Genomic DNA, 20,071 nt, shown 5'->3' with positions numbered 1-20,071 from the left:
ATGAAAGAAAGAAAAGAAAAGGAAGAAAGGAAGAAAGGAAGGAAGGAAGGAAGGAAGGAAGGAAGGAAGGAAGGAAGGAAGGAAGGAAAAGAGAGAAAGAAAGAGAGAGGAAGGAAGGAAGGAAGGAAGGAAGGAAGGAAGGAAAAGAGAGAAAGAAAGAGAGAGGAAGGAAGGAAGGAAGAAAGGAAGGAAGGAAGAAAAGAAGGAAAGAAAGAAAAAAGATATATAAACACGCAGACCTATGCATATAACCATAGGGATTTATATTAAACATTACAATAAAATAATTCTAAAAATGTGTCCTAAGGAATCAAACATAATGATGAAGTAAATATAAATGTTAGAGTAATTTATAATTGATTTGTTATTTTTAATCGTTTACTTGAATTTATTTCTATTTGTTCATTTAAAAGTAGTATATTGGTCATTTCAAGAGAGCTAACAGTAAATTTCAGATGTTGTTGTTACGATATATGATAAGAATTTGAGGTGGTGAATGATAATTATCTTATTTCTCAATTATCTTAGTTATTCCATATTGTATTCACAAATCATAACATTGCTTCTTACCTTATAAATATAAACAACCATAATTTGTGAAATTACAATAATTTTCTTTATTTTAATTTTTTAATTTATCCCAGATCATTATCTTTTTCTTCGCTTCCAGATCTCACTGGATCATCTCGAGGGCCCATCCTCACCCCTGTCTCCCGAAGACTTCTGGAGAGGCTGCAGGACGGGCAGAAGGAGGAGCCCCGTGTGAGTCCACACGACCTGGAGCCTCCCTCTCCTTGGATTAGGCCATCTCCTCGGGATCACAGGGCTCTTCATTATCCTTACCCCGCTGTTGTACCAAACAAGCAACATCACACTTCAATTCATCAGGGTTTGCTTTAATTTTCTAAATCATCGTGAAGGTGATAATTTTAACAGTAACGTATCACAACCAAATAGGATAAGCCCTTTTCCATGGAACAGGGTTTCTTATCAGGATATACATGTATTATGGATTCTCAATTTATTTGTAGATGAGATGCTATTATCTCCATATTGTAGATGATTCTGCTAAGTCATCTCTTAAAATTAATTTTTCCAAAGACTCAAACAAATAAATGATATAATTACAAATTTCAGGTGTAATAGCTGAGCCAACATTGAGATTATATTAACATTTAGAACATGAACTTGCAAATATTGTTATTTTCCTGTCAGCTGTCCCCAATTGTGATTTTATACAGAATATTAGAAATTTATCCTGATAAATCAGGTTAAAATATTATATCACTAGTTTATTAACTTTTATAACTAATAATATAAAATGTTCCACATATTTTTTAGCCATGTTTTACTTACCCGTGATATGTGTATTTATTAATTTTTCATTTTAAGATGCCACCTTTATCTTTCTTATTTCTGGGATTTTATTCTAGTAGATAGAGCTGAATGCATTTTAATAATTATCATAATAATCACATTTACATTTTGCATTTTAATTTTCATATACATTTTATTAATATTTTAATTTCAATATAAAATATTTTCCTACAAATGTCAATTTTTGATTTTTATGAGATAAAATTAACCTATACAAAATACATATATTTTCAATGTACAGTTTGAGGGTTTCTGGCAAATGTGCACACATTTGTCTCCAGCATCTAAGTTATGATGAGGAGCAGGTCCATCTCCACAACAAGTGTCCTCTTCGGTGCTTCCAGTCAGCTCTCACATAAGGAATTTTTTTTCAAATTTAATATAGATACAGAGGGTAAATGTTTGGATTTGTCACGGGGGATTATTGAGTGATGCTGAGGTTTGGAATACAGATTCCACCATCCTCTCCCTCCACTCTCCAGCAGTCCACAGTGTCTATCATTCTCATAATTATGTCCATGTGTGCTCAATGCTGAGGTCTTACTTAGGAGAATATGTGGTATTCAGTTTTCTGCTCCTACATTAATTTGTTTAGGATTAAGGGCCCCAGCTTCTTTCATTTTACTGCAAAGGACATGATTTCATTCTTTTTCATGGCTGTGTAGTATTATACATTGTAGATGTACCGCATTTTGTATATTCAGTCTACCAATGATGTGCATCTGGTTTGATCTATGTCGTTGCCACTGTGAATAGCACAGCAATGAACATAGATGTGTATGTGTCTTTTTGGTAGAATTATTTGCTTACTTTTCAGTGTATACCCCGTGGTGGGACTGCTGCGTAAAATGATATCTCTGTTTTAAGTTCTTTGAGAAATCTCCAGTCTGATTTCCAAAATGGAAACACCAATTTATATTCCCCTCATCAGTGTATGTGTTCTCTTTTCTCCACAGTCCCAGCAGCATCCATTGTTTTTTGACTTTTTAGTGATAACCATTCTGAGTGGTGCATGGCTGCACACCTACAGTCATCTCATCTTTGATAAGGCTGATGAAAACAAGCAATGAGGAAGGGACTCCCTGTTCAATAAATGGTGCTGGGACAACTGGCTAGGCATATGATGAAGATTGAAGCTGGATATCTACTTTCAACATGTATAAAATTAACACAAAATTCATTAAAGTTTTAAATGTAAGACCTCAAACCATAAAAATCCTTGAAGACAACCTAGGAAATACTCTTCTTGACATCAGGTTTGACAAAAAAATGTTGGCTGAGTATCCAAAACCAATTGCAACAAAAAGAAAAATAGACAAGTGGGGCCTAATTAACTGAGGAGCTCCTGCTCAGCAAAACAAACAAAGAAGCAAACAAAACTAACAGCACAGTACTCAGACAACCTACAGAATGTGGAAAGATATTCACAAACGTTCCATCCAACAAAGCCGTAATATCCAGAATCTATAGGGAAATTAAACAAATCAAGAAGCAAAAAATAATAATAATAATAACCCCATTAAAAATGGGCTGATACGGTTTGCTGTGTCCCCACCCAAATATCAACTTGAATTGTATCTCCCAGAATTCCCATGTGTTGTGAGACGGACCCAGGGGGAGGTAATTGAACCATGGGGGCCTGTCTTTCCCGTGCTATTCTCTTGGTAGTGAATAAGTCTCACCAGATCTAATGAGACTTATCAGGGGTTTATCTGATGGGTTTATCAGGGGTTTCCGCTTTTGCTTCTTCCTCTTTTTCTCTTGCCATCACCAGGTAAGGAGTGCCTTTTACCTGCCACCGTGTTTTGGAGGCCTTCACAGCCATGTGGAACTGTAATTCCAATTAAACCTCTTTTTGTTCCCAGTTTTGGGTGTGTCTTTGTTAGCAGTTTGAAAATGGACTAATGCGTGGGCAAATGACACAGACACTTCTCAAAGGAATACATACAAGTGACCAGCAAATATATTTTTAAAATGTTTAACATCACTAATCATCAGAGAAATGTAAATAGAAAAATGTTCTGATTTCTGTCACTATAGGTCCATTTTCTTGTTTTGAATTTCATATACATGGAATAAAATATTATAGCTCATTTTTGTAAGAAGCTTTTACTATCTGTGAGGTTCATTCATGTGATAGCATCTATCAAGGTTTTGTCAACATATGTATAAATATGTATGTACTCATACACATATAGATATTTCATATCTGAATCAGTCCATTGCATTAATAAATGACAGATTATTAAATAAATCAGTTCATTAAGGGAATAAGTGACAATATGTATATCTATTTTCCTGTTGATGGAATTTAAATTTGTTTCCAATATAAATATCATAAACAAAACTGTCATACATATCTTTGTACAAGTTCTTCTGTTTATATTCACACATTTTTATTGATAAAATATGTTGAAATATAAGTATGCATTATACCTTTTCAGCTTTATGGAGCTATCACTGACAAATAAAATTTTCTGTATTTAAGGTACACCAATTGATGTATTGATATTCTTGGGGAAATGCTCATAATGATCAAGGTAATTGGCATGCCTATCATCTCAGAGAGTTAACATTTTATGCCTTTAATTTATTGTGTATGTGTGATGAAATCACCTAATATCTACTTGTCTGGCAAAAGATATGTTTATAATGCAACATTCATTAGTATAGTCACATTGCTGTAGGTTTGATCTCCAGAACTATTTCAACCTGTGTATTAGTCCATTCTCACCCTAATGTAAGGAACTACCTGAGACTGGGAAATTTATGAAGAAAAGTGGTTTAGTTGACTCACAGTTCTGCAGGCTTAACAGCAAGTATTACTAGGAGGTATCAGGAAACTTACAGTCATCACAGAAAGTGAAGGGGAAGCAAGGACCGCTTCACATGCTGGCAGGAGAGAGAGAAAGAGCAAGGGGAGATGCACCACCCTTTTAAACCTTGAGATCTTGTGAGAACTCTGTCACAAGAACAGCAAAAGGGAAGACCGCCCGCATGATCCAATCACTCCCCATCAGACACCTGCTACAACACTTGGGGATTAAAATTTGACATGAGATGTGGGTGAAAACACAGAGCCAAACCATATCATTCCACCCATGGTCTATCAGAAATCTCATGTCCTTCTCACATTGCAAAATATCATTATGCCTTCTCAACAGTCTTCCAGGCTTAACTCATTTCAGCATTATCACAAAAATCTATAGTCTAAAGTCACCTCTGAGACAAGGTAAATTTCTTCCCCCTATAAACCTGTAAAATTAAAAAGAAGTTAGTTATTTCCAAGACACAATGGAGGTGCATGTACTGGGTAAATGCTCCCATTCCAAATGGGTGTCATTGGCCACAGAAAAGGGGCTACAGGCCCCATGCAAGTCCAAACACCAGTAGGGCAGCCATTAAATGTTAAAGCTACAGCATAATTTCCTTTTACCCCATGTCTCACATCCAGGACACACTGATACAAGGGTTGGGCTCCCAAGGCCTTAGGAAGCTCCACCCTGTGGCTCAACGTGGTACAGTCCCCATGACTGCTTTGATAGGCTGGCATTGAGTTTCTATGGCTTTACAGGCACAGCATGCAAGCTGTTGGTGGATCTACCATTCCGGGGTCTGGAGGAAGGTGCCCCTCTTCTCACAGATCCACTAGGCATCTAGTGCCTAGTGCCCAGTGGGTACTCTGTGTGGGAGATCCAACACCACATTTTCCTTCCACACTGGCCTAGTAGAGGTACTCCATTAGGGCTCAGCCCTGCATAAGACTTCTGCCTGAATACCCAGACATTTTCATACGTCATCTGAAATCTAAGAGGAAGCTCCCAAACCTCAACTCTTGCCTTATGTGCACCCGCAGACTCAACACCACGTGGAAGCAACCAAAGCTTAGGGCTTGCACCCTCTGAAGCAATGGCCTGAGCTGGACCTTGGCCCCTTTAGCCATGGCTGGCAGGAGAGGGACAGGGATGTCCCAAGGCTGCACAGAGCAGTCGGGTCCTGGGCCTGGACCATGAAACCATTTTTCTCTACTGGGCTTCTGGGCCTGTGATGGGAGGGACCGCAGCAAAGATCTCTGAAATGCTCTCAAGATGTTTTTCCCATCGGGTTCCTCATTACTTATGCAAATTTCTGCAGCCCGCTTGAATTTCTTCCCAGGAAATGGATTCTTCTTGTCTACCACATGGTCAGGCTGCAATTTTTTTCAACCTTTTATGATCTGCTTCCCTTTTAAACATAAGTTCAAATTTCAGACCATCTCTTAATGAATGCATATGACTTACATTTTCAGAAACAGCCAGGGCAAATATTGAATGCTTTGCTACTTAGAAATTTTTTCTGCTAGATACCTTAAGTCATCTCTCCCTAGTTCAACATTGCACAGATCTCTAGGGCAGGGGCAAAATGCCACTAGTCTTTTTGCTAAAGCATAGCAAGTGTGAGCTTTACTCCAGTTCACAAGAAGTTCTTCATCTTAGCATCTGAGACCACCTCAGCCTGGACTTTATTGTCCATATCACTATCTGCATTTTGTTCAAAACCATTCAGTAAGCCTCTAGAAAGTTTCAAACTTTTCCACAGCTTCCTGTCTTCTTGTGAGCCCTCCAAGCTTTACCAGCCTCTGTCCATTACCCAGTTACAAAGTCACTTCCACAGTTTTAGGTATCTTAATAGCAGTGCCCACTCCTAGTGCAAATTTTCTGTATTAGTTGATTCTTACACTGCTGTAAAGAACTACCTGAGACTGGGTAATTTATGAAGAAAAGAGTTTAGTAGACTCACAGTTCTTCAGGCTAAACAGGAAGCATTACTGGGAGGCATCAAGACACACAATGATGGCCGAAGGTGAAGGGGATTCAAAAATCTTCTTTGCAAGATGGCAGGAGAGAGACAGCAAGGGAGACGGGAGGTGCCACACTTTTAAACCATCAGATCTCTTGAGAACTTTATCAGGAGAACAGCAAAGAGGAAGGCCACCCCATTACCCAATCACTTTATATTAGGCCCTTCCTTCAACATGTAGGGATTACAATTTGGCCTGAGATTTGAGTGGGAACACAGAGCCAAACTGTATCAACCTGCATAACTGAAAGTTATAACCTTTGACCAACATCAGCCAATTTTTTCCTCCTCCCAGCCCCTGGGAACTACTATTCTACTTTGCTTCCAAGAGCATGAATATTTTAGATTCTACATATAAATGAGTTCATGCAACATTTGACTCTCTGTGTCTCACTCCACTTAGCAAAGTGTTCTCTATGTGTTGTACATGTTAGAATTTCCTCGTTTTTAAAGGCAGAATAATATTCACTTTTAGGTAGGAATAAGCCACATTTTATCTGTTGATTCATAGATGGACATTGACCTATTTTCTATATCTAGGCTATTATGAATAATCTCACAATAAACATATATTTGTCACACTCACTTTATTTTCTCTAGATGTATACTCAGAAGTGGGTATATTCTATGTTCAATTCATTGAGTAATCTTGATGCTGTTTTTTCATAATGGCTGTACTAATTTGCATTTTGTTCCAAACCATACATGGATAACTTTGTACCACATATTCAGGTCTTTGTTTAAGTCTTAAATCCATTTTTAGCTGATTTATATGTATTGTGTGAGATAAGGTCCATTTTTTTTCTTCCGCATATGGATGCCCAGTTTTCACAGCACTTGTTGAAGAGACTGTTTTTTCTCTATTGTGTGTTCTTGGCAGTTCATCAAAGATCAGTTTATTGGGAAGAAATTGGTGGACTTCCAGATTGTCTGTAATGTTCTGTTGGATTCTATGTCTGTTTAAATGTCAGCATTATACTGTTTTGATTTACATAGATTTGATTTTGAAATTATAGAATATGATATATTCAGTTATATTTTACCCAAAATTATTTTGGCTATTTAAAGCTTTTGTATTTTTACATAAATTGGAGAACTTTTTAATATTTTTGTAAAACCATGCCATGGAGATTATATATTTATTTTATAGGCATATAATAGATATACCTAATTTATGGGAACATGTAATATATTGATGCATTTATAAACGTGTAAAGATCAGATCAGGATTGGTATATCTATCACATTAAACGTGTATATTTTCTTTATGCTAGGCACATTTGAACAACTCTCTTCTGGCTATTTTAACGTATACATTAGATTATCGTTAACTATAGTCACCTTACTCATCTATCAAACATTTAGGTTGTATTTCTCCTATATAACTGTATATCTGTCTTCAGTAATCATCCTCTCTTTATCCTCTTCTCTCTTGTATCCAACCAGGCTTCTGGTAAACAACAATCTACTCTCTGTCTTCAGGAAATCCAATGTTTTAGTTGTGACATAAAAGTAAGAAGATGCAATATTTGTCTTTCTGTGTTTGGTTTATTTAACTTAACATTATGGCTTCCACTTCCATTCATATTGTTGCAAATGACAAGATATCAACATTTATGGCTGAATAATATTCTATTGCCTACATCGATTATATTTTTATATCCATTTCTCCACCTACAGACACTGAGGTTGCTTTCATATCTGGGCTATTGTGAATAGAGCTGCAAGAACATGGAGTGCACATGCCTTTATGAGGCAGTGATTTTATCTTCTTTAGAACATACTCAGAATAGGATTTGCTGAGTCATCAGGTATTTCTATTTTTCTTTTATTTTGGAGTCTTCATACAACTTTGCACAATAGTGGAAATACAAACGGAAAAACCATTATAAAAAGCAGTTTCAGTTTTGAGGTATGATCCAAAAACACACAACATTTCATCATGATTCTCATTGGGAGTCTCTAATGAATCTGGTGGAAAGGCAGGAAGTTTTCTAACCTTGTTAAGAAAATTATGAGTTTGCACATTTTTCTTTTTGAGGCTGGAAATTGGCATGATTCAAGATGCGTAATGTTAGCAGGTTTCAGAATGATATAGCGAAAATCATAATGAGAAGGCAAGAGAGAGAATAAGAGAAAGACAGGAAAACAAAGAAACAAATAAATTTCACAAGAGAAGAAACTGCTGGATGTCAGTGTTGGGTTTTGTTCCTAGACATATCTGTACTGAGTGAGAAACCATGAAGCCAAGGGAAGAGTCTAGAACTTGTTCAAGTGAAGCATCAGCATATTTCTCCAAGGCACCTATTGTCACCCCATCACAAGGGTGATGAGTTTTTGAATACCATTAAATATGAGTTCCTAGTAAGTAATCATGTTTCCATGAAATTCAGTTAAAATGCAAAGGGTGTGTCCAGATCACTCATGCACAAAAATACAAAATTTGCCTTTGCATTTATGGCTGCATAGAGGTAAAGTCCATTGAGACTTCAGCAGGTTACAGAGATCTGTTAAGTTTTGGATTCCCATAGGAGAGTGCCTCTTAGTGAAGGTTGGACTATTAATTAAGTATGTACAAATTCCCTCTATGGGAGTAGTGTTCCATTTGTGTGGAATTTTTAATTCCTTATTGAATTGCAAAACAAATCCCAAGGACTGACTCCATGGAGTTTTACTGTAGTGTTCATAAAAATATTTAATAAGATTCCTTCCAGTGTTTCAAGGAAAGTTTTTCTCTAAAATTTTTTCTAATACATAAATTTTCCTGCCTAAAATTGAAACAGGCTGTTGTTAAAAAGACATACTGGAATGGCAGCTTTAATCTGTTGGTGATAGGAATGAGCATAATACATGAATCTCTTTGAGTGTTCTGCCTCATCCAAATACTGTATGGCAAAGGCTAGTATTGGAGGTAAAATCTCTAAATGTATTTGTTCCAGCCATCAAGTCATGGGGCAATAACAGATACATCCTTGAGGCAGAGGACCATAATGCCACAGTGCTAGTAGGAGTACATGTCGCCAAGGGAGTTCAAGGGTTCCTTAAAATTGTGATAATTTTAATGTAAGAACACCTTATTAGAGACAGGGTTTCAGCATGTTGACCAGGCTTGGTCTAGAACTCTTGACCTCTTGATCTGCCCGCCTTGGCCTCCCAAACTGCTGATATTACAGGAGTGAGTCACTGTGTCTAGCCAGTCCATTTATTTTCTTCTGCACATGGATACCCATAAACTTATGTGGAAGATTGTGGGAGGTTATAACAGTGTCATACTTTAGTATCAGCCATACCTCACAGAATCATTTTATAATAGTTCCTTTCATGGGTGTACTTCACTCAGTTCATGCAAAACCTGGCAGGTCACAGGCTAAAAACACAAAATACCGAAGTGTTTAACCAACTGAAAGGGCTGTAGCCTTTTGTCAATGAATTATTTCAAGACACGGAGAACACATATAGATTATAAATAAAATACTTTCACATCCCCTTAAGGGTGGAAATTGAGGAAATTTTACCTAAATGTGTCCAAAGGGCCCTGTGGCTTGGTTTCTGTCTAGGTCCCAATGATAGGGTTCTCCCAGGATTTTGTGGCTGTCTTGTTACACTTCATCAAGAATTAACCTCTGCTGTTTCCTCAAAGTGTTTAATTGGATAATGAATTTGTCTATAAATTGAAGAGTTGAAATACATCAAATATTAATTTGTAATAATCTGGCACAAATTATCTAAGCAAAGTCAATAACTAGATGTTTTTTCATTTATTTTTATTTAAAATCAGGACCTAAAGTTATGCTTTAATAACATCTGTGACCCTCTCAGCAGTTTTCTCTTCTGAGGATATGATCTGCTGTGGCAGTTTTCTTAGCTTCAATGTTACCTCTTTTTGCAATGACTACCGTCTTTATATTTGCCAGGAATCTGGGATAAAGGAGTGCTTCTAAGAGTTCCCTAACTTGCCCATTTTGGTGGGTGTTCCGGAACATATGAGATGCTCTGTTGTTAACAAAGCATCCCAAAGCCATGCACTGCCCTAAAATGTGTTTGTTTCCTAGTTTGACAAATTGGAAGTTCTAATAAATACAATCACTTCTGCCATCTGGGCTGATTTTACATCAGATAGAGGGCTGTATTCCAAAGAAAAGCTTACATTAGTAATAGCAATTTTAGTCAAAAGCCTAGAGTTTTATCATTGAGGTGCAATTCATAACAAATAATATTAGGTCGAGGTTCTCAGTGGCAGTGTCTAAATCTCTTAGGTGTACAGGGTCTTCCCTGTTAACATGAAGCATTTATAAGCACAGTCATAGTTTCCAGCCATGCTTCTCCCTGTCTCATTATCACCACAAACTATGGCCTCACCTGGAACTTGGGTTAATTTCCAAATAAGTAATTTTTTAGTCTTTATGCCTCTAGATTATTATGTGAGAAAGTTAACATTCAGTAGAAAGTTAAAAAGAACATTTGAACTGACTAAACAACACAGAAAATCAAGAATAAAATTCAAAGCCTAGATGTGAGAGGCTCCAGGCCTGGATAATGCAATAGTTCATGTAGGCAGGCAGTTTCTTTGCCCAGTTCTACACTGATACACCCAGAATGTCAGCTTCATGCCAGATTTGACTCCTATTATGTAGAGACATGGCAATACATTCTCAAGGGTCACATGAAATAATATGAAAATTGGTGGGAATAGGGGAGGAGACAACTCTGCAATTCTCATCTGAAGGACCAGGAAAGCCTGGACAGACCATCTCCCCAGCCTCCGTGACTGCACCACGTGCCCACATGGACACTCATCCCTGATAGGGTAAGAAGACTCCATTGATGGGGCTGAGCATTTTATGATAGAAATTACTAGAGACTGACGTGGAGGTTTCAACAACTAATATTTATAACCAAAATTTAATTACCCCCACATTGTTACCATTTTCTTCAGTGAAAAATTGCTTGCCATGATTAAGTTTTAAGTAGATTTCCAATGTTCACAACTGAGCTTCCAAGAGAGTCTTGAGAACAAAAACAATGAGGGCAGAGAAATCTATCTTTTCTGTATTCACCACTAAACTCAAGTGGACTCAGCACTGCCTTTGATCACTGCTGCTTCTCTGCAGAGTTCAGGTTTCTACTTCTCACAATTCTGACACACATTCTACCTCTCCTCAAATGTTTGGCCTCTGCTTCTTGTAAGGTCACCCTCTGTTCTTAACTTCTTCTCTGAGTCATTTTGTGAGGTGGTCATGAGCCATTAAATGGATATTTTATATTTTCCCAACATGAATCACATGAGTGGTCATGAATTATACTTCTGATTATGGCAGTTGATTTTTCTTGGCATGTTCATGACTAGTAATATTTGAAGCCATTTCATTCAAATCTTCGGGGCTTCGTTTTTGTTGCTATGACATTTTTTCTTCTATTGAGTCTTTCCACTAGTATTATAACATGACCTAGTATCCAGGCTCAGTTGTCATTAATAATAACCACATATGTCAAAAATCATGCATTCTTTTCACAGCAGACATAATTTCCTCTTTTCTGCAGATGAAGACACACTGCTGAGCTACCCCCACTTACAAGAATATATGCACAATTATGATATCTTCATTTATTTGACTAATAAGCTATATCATTCTCCCTTCAAATTCTTTACCCCCCAGAAGTCCTGGACAAATTTCTGCATCTGCTCAAACCATAAACTCAGAACTACATGGTGAGTAAAAGTCACCTGGTTCTGGATATTGGGTCCATCTCTTCCCCTCCAATGTCCCAGAGCACCTCAGCACACCTGTCCAGGTTCTATCAAGAAAGAGTAGCTCCTGCACACTGAAGGAAACAATTGAGTTAAGAGAGGACCTGCAGATGATAGACAATATTGAAAACTATTAATATGACAAAGGATTACTACCAAGCATGTGAAATAAGCTCAACGGGTGTGGTGGTTCATGTCTGTAGTACCAGCAATTTGGGAGGCAAGTTGCGCAGATCACCTGAGGTTAGGAGCTCGACACCAGCCTGACCAACATAAAGAACACCCTGTCTCTACTAAAAGTACAAAATTAGCTGGGCATGGTGGCATGCGCCTGTAATCCCAGCTACTCGGGAGGCTGAGGCAGGAGCATCACTTGAACCTGGGAGGTGGAGGTTGCGGTGAGCTGAGATGGCACCATTGCACTCCAGCCTGGGCAACAAGAGGGAAACTCCATCTCAAAAAAAAAAATTACAAAAAATTAGCTGAGCGTGGTGGTGGGCGCCTGTATACCCAGCTGCTAGGGAGACTGAGGCAGGAGAATCACTTGAACCCAGGAGGTGAAGGTTGCAGTGAGCTGAGATTGCGCCATTGCACTCCATCCTGGGCAACAAGAGTGAAACTCCATCTCAAAAAAAAAAAAAAAGAGCCTTGCAAAGGGCAAATAGATCATAGACAGACAGATAGATAGATAGACCTATTAGTATACATACATACATATATATACACTAATATTCAGGAAAATGCAAATTCATAATGAGATGTCTTTTCACCCTTCATCTCTGCTAGAAAGTTTGTTATCTGAAAAACAAATACATACATACATACTTATTAAAAGCTGGCCAGGATGCCTAGAAAGTAAAACTCATAGACCACTGGTGGAAATGTAAATTAGTGCAGCCATCAAGGGAAAAAAATAGAACTACCATATATTCCAGCAATCCAACTGCTAAGTATATATCTATTTAAATATTTAAAAGAAAAAACTAATATTGAAGAGATACCTGTACACCCATGTTTATTGCAGCACTAATCACAATTTCTAAGATATGAAATCAACATATGTGTCCATCAACAGATGAATGGATACATAAAATGTGATATATTTACACAATGGAATATTATTCAGCCTTAACAATGAAATTCTGCCATTTAAAGCAACATGGATGGAATGGGACACCACTATGTTGAGTGAAATGAGTCAGACACAGAAAAATAAATACCGCATTTCTCAGCGTTACTTCTAGAAGTAAATAGTAGAGTAGTGGTGATGAGATGCCAGGAATGAGAGAAGGCTGAGAGATAAGAAGAGGTTTGTTAACAAACACACAATTACAGGTAGACAGGAGGGATGTGCTCTAGTGTTCTACAGCACAGTAGGGTGACTACAGTTAACAATATATTGTACGTTTTCTGTTTACAAGAAGCCAGAAGAGAGAATTTTCTATGCTACCAACACAAATAAATGTTAGTGTCTGAACTGACGAATTTGCTCATTGTTCTGATTTTGGTCATACCAAGTGGCACACATGTATTCAAATATCACACTGTATCCCATAAACATAAGCAGTTATTATGTGCCAACTTTGAAAAATCCTTTAATTAAAAAGAATTATATTGGCGTACATTACAAATGATTCAACACAGAGACAGGAATAAATACCATTTTTCTTTGAAATAGTTAATTAACTAACAATGTAGTTACATTCATTTGCACCAAATCGTGTATTTGATAATGGTATGCATAGACAGAGTTATGCATAGGATAATATCTTTTAATTTTAGACTACTACTTAATACTATAAATATAAATAATTTTAAAACAACTAAGTAAAAAGAATAAAGCTGAGAAAATGTGTGTGTGGTGTGTGATGTGTGAGCTTTTTCTTGTGCACCACTGTGTCCTTGGTGGATGTGTGGTTCATGTGTTTGTTTTTATTTACTCTGTTTGGGGTTCTCTTTGCTTCTAGGATCTGTAGTTCAGTTTCTTTCACAAAATTGGGAACATTCTTCGCTATTATCTTTTTCAAATAGTTTCTGTGTATTTATAATTTCTCCTTCTCAGATTTAAAATATACACATACTATAATTTTGATATTAATGTTTAGTTTCTTTCTTCACTCTCTTTTCGTTTGCAATTTACTTTGTGAAATTTCTAGTGACATACTAATCACATGGTTTTATTGAAAAGCTGAGCCAGCTCTACTGAGGTGTGTGCCAAAAGATTGCTCGATGTTCATACAGCATTGCTTTTGATTTCTTACGCATTTCCATTTGATTTATTCTTAGTATTTTCATATTTCAGTTCCCTATCTATGTCCACGATTTCTTTAAGAGATTCTTGCATATGAATCATAGTTACTTTACATATCTTGTTTAATTAGATATTTATAATATCTGTTTCATCTACAAATCTCATGCTGATCATTTGTTTATTACGACTTTGGTACTTCTCATTAATGTATGTAATAATTGTTGATAGCCACAGATACTGGGATGGACAGTGGATACTGGCTTATTATTTCATTTTATGCATTTCTGCCTGTATTTGACCACACTTTACCTTTGCCAGGCCTTTACTGTGGAAGTATCTGTGAATCTTCTCAGAACTATATTTGACATTCACTTTTGCAGTGGACATCAAAGTTGAAGTCTGTTCTTCTGTGTCCACCAGAGACTTCAGATCCTCCAGTGATATCTTGTTTTTCTTTCCTGCTTGGCTTTGTCTCTTCACCTGTTCCCTCCTCCAGAGAATCATGTTCAGCTCCCTCAGGTGGATTTAAATGTTATTTAACTGACAATTGTGAAATTGGTGGAAAGCAATAGAATAAAGGGAGATTTTCTGACCTTTCCTGGGTTCATATTGTGAACATGAGTCTGGGTGTGACCTTCCCAATGTTTCTGAACTTCCTCCAGATGAGATGTTGGTCTGTGTGTTCTTGCTCTTTTCCCTGCTGTGGAGTCCTCTTGTTTTCCCCAGTTGTTCCCTCCCACAGCTCCAACGTTCTCTTTCGGTGTTATCACCTTACAGATTTGCTGACTAGAACTGCAGATTAAGGCTCTGATTAAATAAGAAGGAGGGGAGATACTTCTCAATGGAACTTAGGTGAAGACCTCTTTTCCCATCTCAGTTCCTAAGGGATTGCCCCAGTGCCCCTAAGATACTGGTTTTGGTGGCTTGCCCCTCCAGAATAATTTCTTTGTTCTCCAGTGGGGATATGGAAGGTGGGTCTGAACGCTTTTCAGAAGGGTGGGCACTTTTTCTCTCCTAGACAGACACAATGGGACAGAACAATTTTGGTGACTGTCCCCATTTTGGGGAAAAAGGATTCAATAGGATAGGAAAACTCTTCAGTCTGTGGTCCCTAAGAAATTCACCCTACAACACATTTACCACACTTGACTTCAAGCAATCCAATATATATGTGTGTTTTCATCTTGTAATAGCCTACATTTTACATGCCATACTCTGCCTCAGTTCAGCTCATACCCCAGCTTTGTTACTCTTTACAAGAACTTGCCTCTCCCTAGATTTCACATTTGCTGTTTATCTTAAAACTTCAAGTATCTAAAGTATTATTTTTAAAAAATGGCCAGTTGTGGTGGCTCACACCTGTAATCCCAACGCTTTGGGAGGCTGAGGTATGTGGATCACCTGAGGTCAGGAGTTTGAGACCACCCTGGCCAACATGGTAAAACCTGTCTCTACTAAAAATACAAAAAAAAAATAGCTTGGCATGGTGGCAGGCACCTGTAATCCCAGCTACTTGGGAGGCTGATACTGGAGAATAGCTTGAACCCAGGAGGCAGAGTTTGCAAGTCGTACCATTGCACTCCAGCCTGGGCGACAGAGTGAGACTCTGTCTCAAAAAAAAAAATTCCAAAATTCCAGCTCCTCTGTTTATCTATTTTTGTTGATACTGTTGTTGTAAAACATAAGTAAAATATATTATTCATCTATGTACATTTCCAAGCTGTGTAGAAGAATTTTTAATAAGACCCAGAGTAAAAAAAGAATGCAAATATGTAGGGGCCAGCCCTACAGGGTCTGTGGATCTTTCTCCCCATGTGCAGAGATGAGAGATCGTAGAAATAAAGGCACAAGACAAAGAGATAGAAGAAAAAACAGCCGGACCCAGGGGACCACTACCACCAAGACACAGACTAGAAGTGGCCCCGAATGCCTGGCTCCGCTGTTATTTATTGGATACAAGGCAAAAGGGGAAGGGTAAGGAGTGTGAGTCATCTGCAATGATTGATAAGGTCATGTGGGTCACGTGTCCACCAGACAGAGGGCACTTCCCTGTTTGGCAGCCGAGGCGGAGAGAGAGAGAGGACAGCTTAGGTCATTATTTATTCCATTCTCTTCTCAGAAAGATCAAAGACTTTAATACTTTCACTAATTCTGCTACTGCTATCTAGAGGGCGGAGCCAGGTGTACAGAGTGGAACATGAAAGTGAAACAGGAGTGTGACCGCTGAAGCACAGCATCACAGAGAGACGTTTAGGCCTCTGGAGGGCTGCGGGCAGGTTTGACTGATGTCAGGCCTTCCACAAGAGGTGGTGGAGCAGAGTCTTCTCTAACTCCCCCGGGGAAAGGGAGACTCCCTTTCCAGGTCTTCTAAGTAATGGGTAATGGGTGCCTTCCCAGGCACTGGCGCTACCGCTAGACCGAGGAGCCCTCTAGTGGCCCTGTCCGGGCGTGACAGAGGCTCACACTCCTGTCTTCTGGTCACTTCTCACTGTGTCCCTTCAGCTCCTATTGCTGTATGGCCTGGTTTTTCCTAGGTTATAATTGTAGAGCAAGGATTATTATAATGTTGGAATAAAGAGTAATGCTACAGACTGATGATTAATGATATTCATATATAATCATATCTATAACCTATTTCTAGTACAACTATTCTTATTTTACATATTCTCTTCATTACACTGGAACAGCTTGTGCCCTCAGTCTCTTGCCTCAGCACCTGGGTGGCTTGCCGCCCAGACAAATATTGTTAAGCTTCTTAATAGAAAAACAAATTATGGTAAATGTGTTCACTGGAATACTACCCGTCATTTATAATAAATTAATGCCTGATACACAGAGCAACAAGGTAAAATATCTAAGTATTTATGTTGAGTAAAATAAGCTAAACAAATAAGAATATATACTATGTAATTTCATTTTTATAAATTCTGATAAATAAAAATGCATCTGAAGTAAAATAATGAAGATAAGTAGTTGCCTGGGGTAATGGTAGAAGAAGGGAGGGGGAGAGGAGGAGGAATACAGCAGAACAAGGGGAAATGTTGAGAAGAATTCACTTGTCCACTTTCTTGGTAATGATAGCAGTTACATCATTTTTATTAGTTGTACATTTTAAATATGTGAAGTTTATTATCTTTCAATTAAGCCTCATAAAATGTCTTACAAGCAAACAAATGGAAACTTAGACAAGGAAAGAGTAATAGAAAGACAGAAAAAATAAGTTCAATGTCAGAAGTACCTGAAAATTAATGTGCCTGGATCCTAGTTCTCTCCATATTTTCAGAAGAGTGCTGGAGGGCAGCAAAACCACACATGCTCTTATTACGGAATGTGGGTTCTGATAAAAACACTAGACACATCCAGCTTTGTCCTGGAGTTGGTTTAGGGGGATGTCAGAGACAGTGATGAAGAGCACAGGGCCAGATACCGGGGTTCACTCATCCCAGACATGAGCTCCGAGACGCATACAGAGCCCCCCCATGTGTGGGTTTACTTCCACTTCTGTAAATGGAGAAAATATTGTCTCCTACAGAACATAGTTTACATGAATATTTAAAATGAAATAGGGTGATTAGTGCAAAGTGTTTATCACAGCACAATTTCATAATAAGACAGCATATTTTCCAAATGCAATCATTGCCAGCAAACTTCTACAGGGCACCGTCGTCTTATCTGGGTACAGCCTACTCCTCAAGGGTCCCACCCTAGAGCTTGCTATATAGTAGGAGATATGCAAATAGGGCCCTCCCTCTACTGATGAAAACCAACCCAACCCTGACCCTGCAGCTCTCAGAGAGGTGCCTTAGCCCTGGATTCCAAGGCATTTCCACTTGGTGATCAGCACTGAACACAGAGGACTCACCATGGAGTTGGGGCTGTGCTGGGTTTTCCTTGTTGCTATTTTAGAAGGTGATTCATGGAAAACTAGAGAGATTTAGTGTGTGTGGATATGAGTGAGAGAAACAGTGGATATGTGTGGCAGTTTCTGACCTTGGTGTCTCTTTGTTTGCAGGTGTCCAGTGTGAGGTGCAGCTGGTGGAGTCTGGGGGAGGCTTGGTACAGCCTGGAGGGTCCCTGAGACTCTCCTGTGCAGCCTCTGGATTCACCTTCAGTAGTTATGAAATGAACTGGGTCCGCCAGGCTCCAGGGAAGGGGCTGGAGTGGGTTTCATACATTAGTAGTAGTGGTAGTACCATATACTACGCAGACTCTGTGAAGGGCCGATTCACCATCTCCAGAGACAACGCCAAGAACTCACTGTATCTGCAAATGAACAGCCTGAGAGCCGAGGACACGGCTGTTTATTACTGTGCGAGAGACACAGTGAGGGGAAGTCAGTGTGAGCCCAGACACAAACCTCCCTGCAGGGGTCCCTTGGGACCACCAGGGGGCGACAGCACACTGAGCACGGGGCTGTCTCCAGGGCAGGTGCAGGTGCTGCTGAGGGCTGGCTTCCTGTGATGGCCTGGGGCGGCCTCATTGTCAAATTTCCCCGGGGAACTTCTCCAGATTTACAATCCTGTACTAATATTTGATGTCTCTAAATGCAACCTTTTTTTTCCTTTTTGTGTCTGTTTTTTTTTTTTAAAACAGGAGGACACATCCTCACCTCCACAGAAGCCACAGTGTCACTTTGGGGGCAGAAATAATCCTTTCGTGGTCAACAGGGTGAGAGTTTTGAGGAATCCCAGGGAAACCTGGGGAATGTTTTCCAATTAGACTCAGGGCAGAGACCTCCATGGGAATCTCTGATTAGAACAGGCTTTGAGTTCTGATGGGAGCCAAGAGAGAGGCTCACCCAGGGTCAGGGTTCTTAAAACCTGATGGTTTTCACAGCAATCCCCCTTCATCTTGTGAAACTGGGCACATCTGACTCAGACTGATTCAGTTGACCCTCTTTCTGCTAATCCATTTTCCTTCCCAGTAGACTTGATTCTCACAGATCCCTTTCTTCTTCTCTTTCCTGAAAACAGAGGATGTGTTTTCTGTAGTCTAAATTCCAAGGCTCAGGTCCGCAGGAGCTGGGTAGGCTGAGGGGTCTTCCTCACTCACTATTGCCTGGAAAATCCTGCTGTCTTCTGTGCATGGAGGCATTTGGAAAATGAAGCAGGCATTAGTCATGAAGGGAATAATACTAGTTTTCTCCAATGGGATGTTGATGTAGAGCTGATCTTATGCTTCTCACACTGTCACAAAGTTTGGACTCTCACCTGTGACTTTGAGGAGAGCTTGTGATACCTTATCTTGTTTTAATATGAATAGACTCTCCCTTAGCTCAGGAAGCTGGAACAGACTCCATTTGGCTCCTTCATTTGTAAGACATCAAGGGCTCCTCACCCACCCCCTTCCTCAAGGACTTAACTTGTTTAAGCTGACTCCCAGCATCTCAAAGAGTGCGATTAACTGATAAGGTACTGTGGCAAGCTGTGTCCGCAGTTCCCAGGAATTTGGCCAGGTGATGGTACCCTAAAGCCCCTGCATTTGTGTCTGGCAGATAACACCCAGAGCCCCCACACCTATCATCTTGTGATGAATTTAAAGCCCCTGCACCTGGAACTGTTTGCCTGTAACCATTTGTCCTTTCAACTTTTTTGCCTGTTTTACTCCTGTTAGAATGCTACAGTTAGGCTCCCCCTCCCCTCTCTAAACCAAAGTATAAAAGAAAATCTAGCACCTTCTTCGGGGCTGAGAGAATTTCCAGCGTTAGCCATCTCTCAGTTGCCAGCTAATAAAGGACTCCTGAATTCATCTCAAAGTGCGGCGTTTCTCTCTAACTCGCTCGGTTACAACAAGCTGAGGATGGACACTCCATTGTGCAGTGAGCTCTGGGTGACAGTAATCGTAGGGTCTCCCCG

The 20,071-nt window shown here is 39.1% G+C and overlaps 1 gene segment (V, D, J or C) and 1 further gene; both read left to right on the top strand.

Annotated features, from left to right (window-relative positions):
* The window catches only part of IGH (immunoglobulin heavy locus), a 1,293,408-nt gene that overhangs the window by 323,500 nt on the left and 949,837 nt on the right, over positions 1 to 20,071 (top strand).
* IGHV3-48 (immunoglobulin heavy variable 3-48) lies at positions 18,080 to 18,535 on the top strand. The segment is given in 2 exon segments: positions 18,080 to 18,125; positions 18,229 to 18,535. Coding segments are annotated over 2 exon segments (353 nt in total), but the record flags the coding sequence as incomplete, so codon positions are not given.

This window comes from Homo sapiens, chromosome 14 (assembly GCF_000001405.40).
Source record: "Homo sapiens chromosome 14, GRCh38.p14 Primary Assembly".
In the NCBI taxonomy this organism is placed as follows: Eukaryota; Metazoa; Chordata; class Mammalia; order Primates; family Hominidae; genus Homo; species Homo sapiens.
Note: the sequence above shows the minus strand (reverse complement) of the source record. Positions and strands in the feature narration are given on the sequence as shown.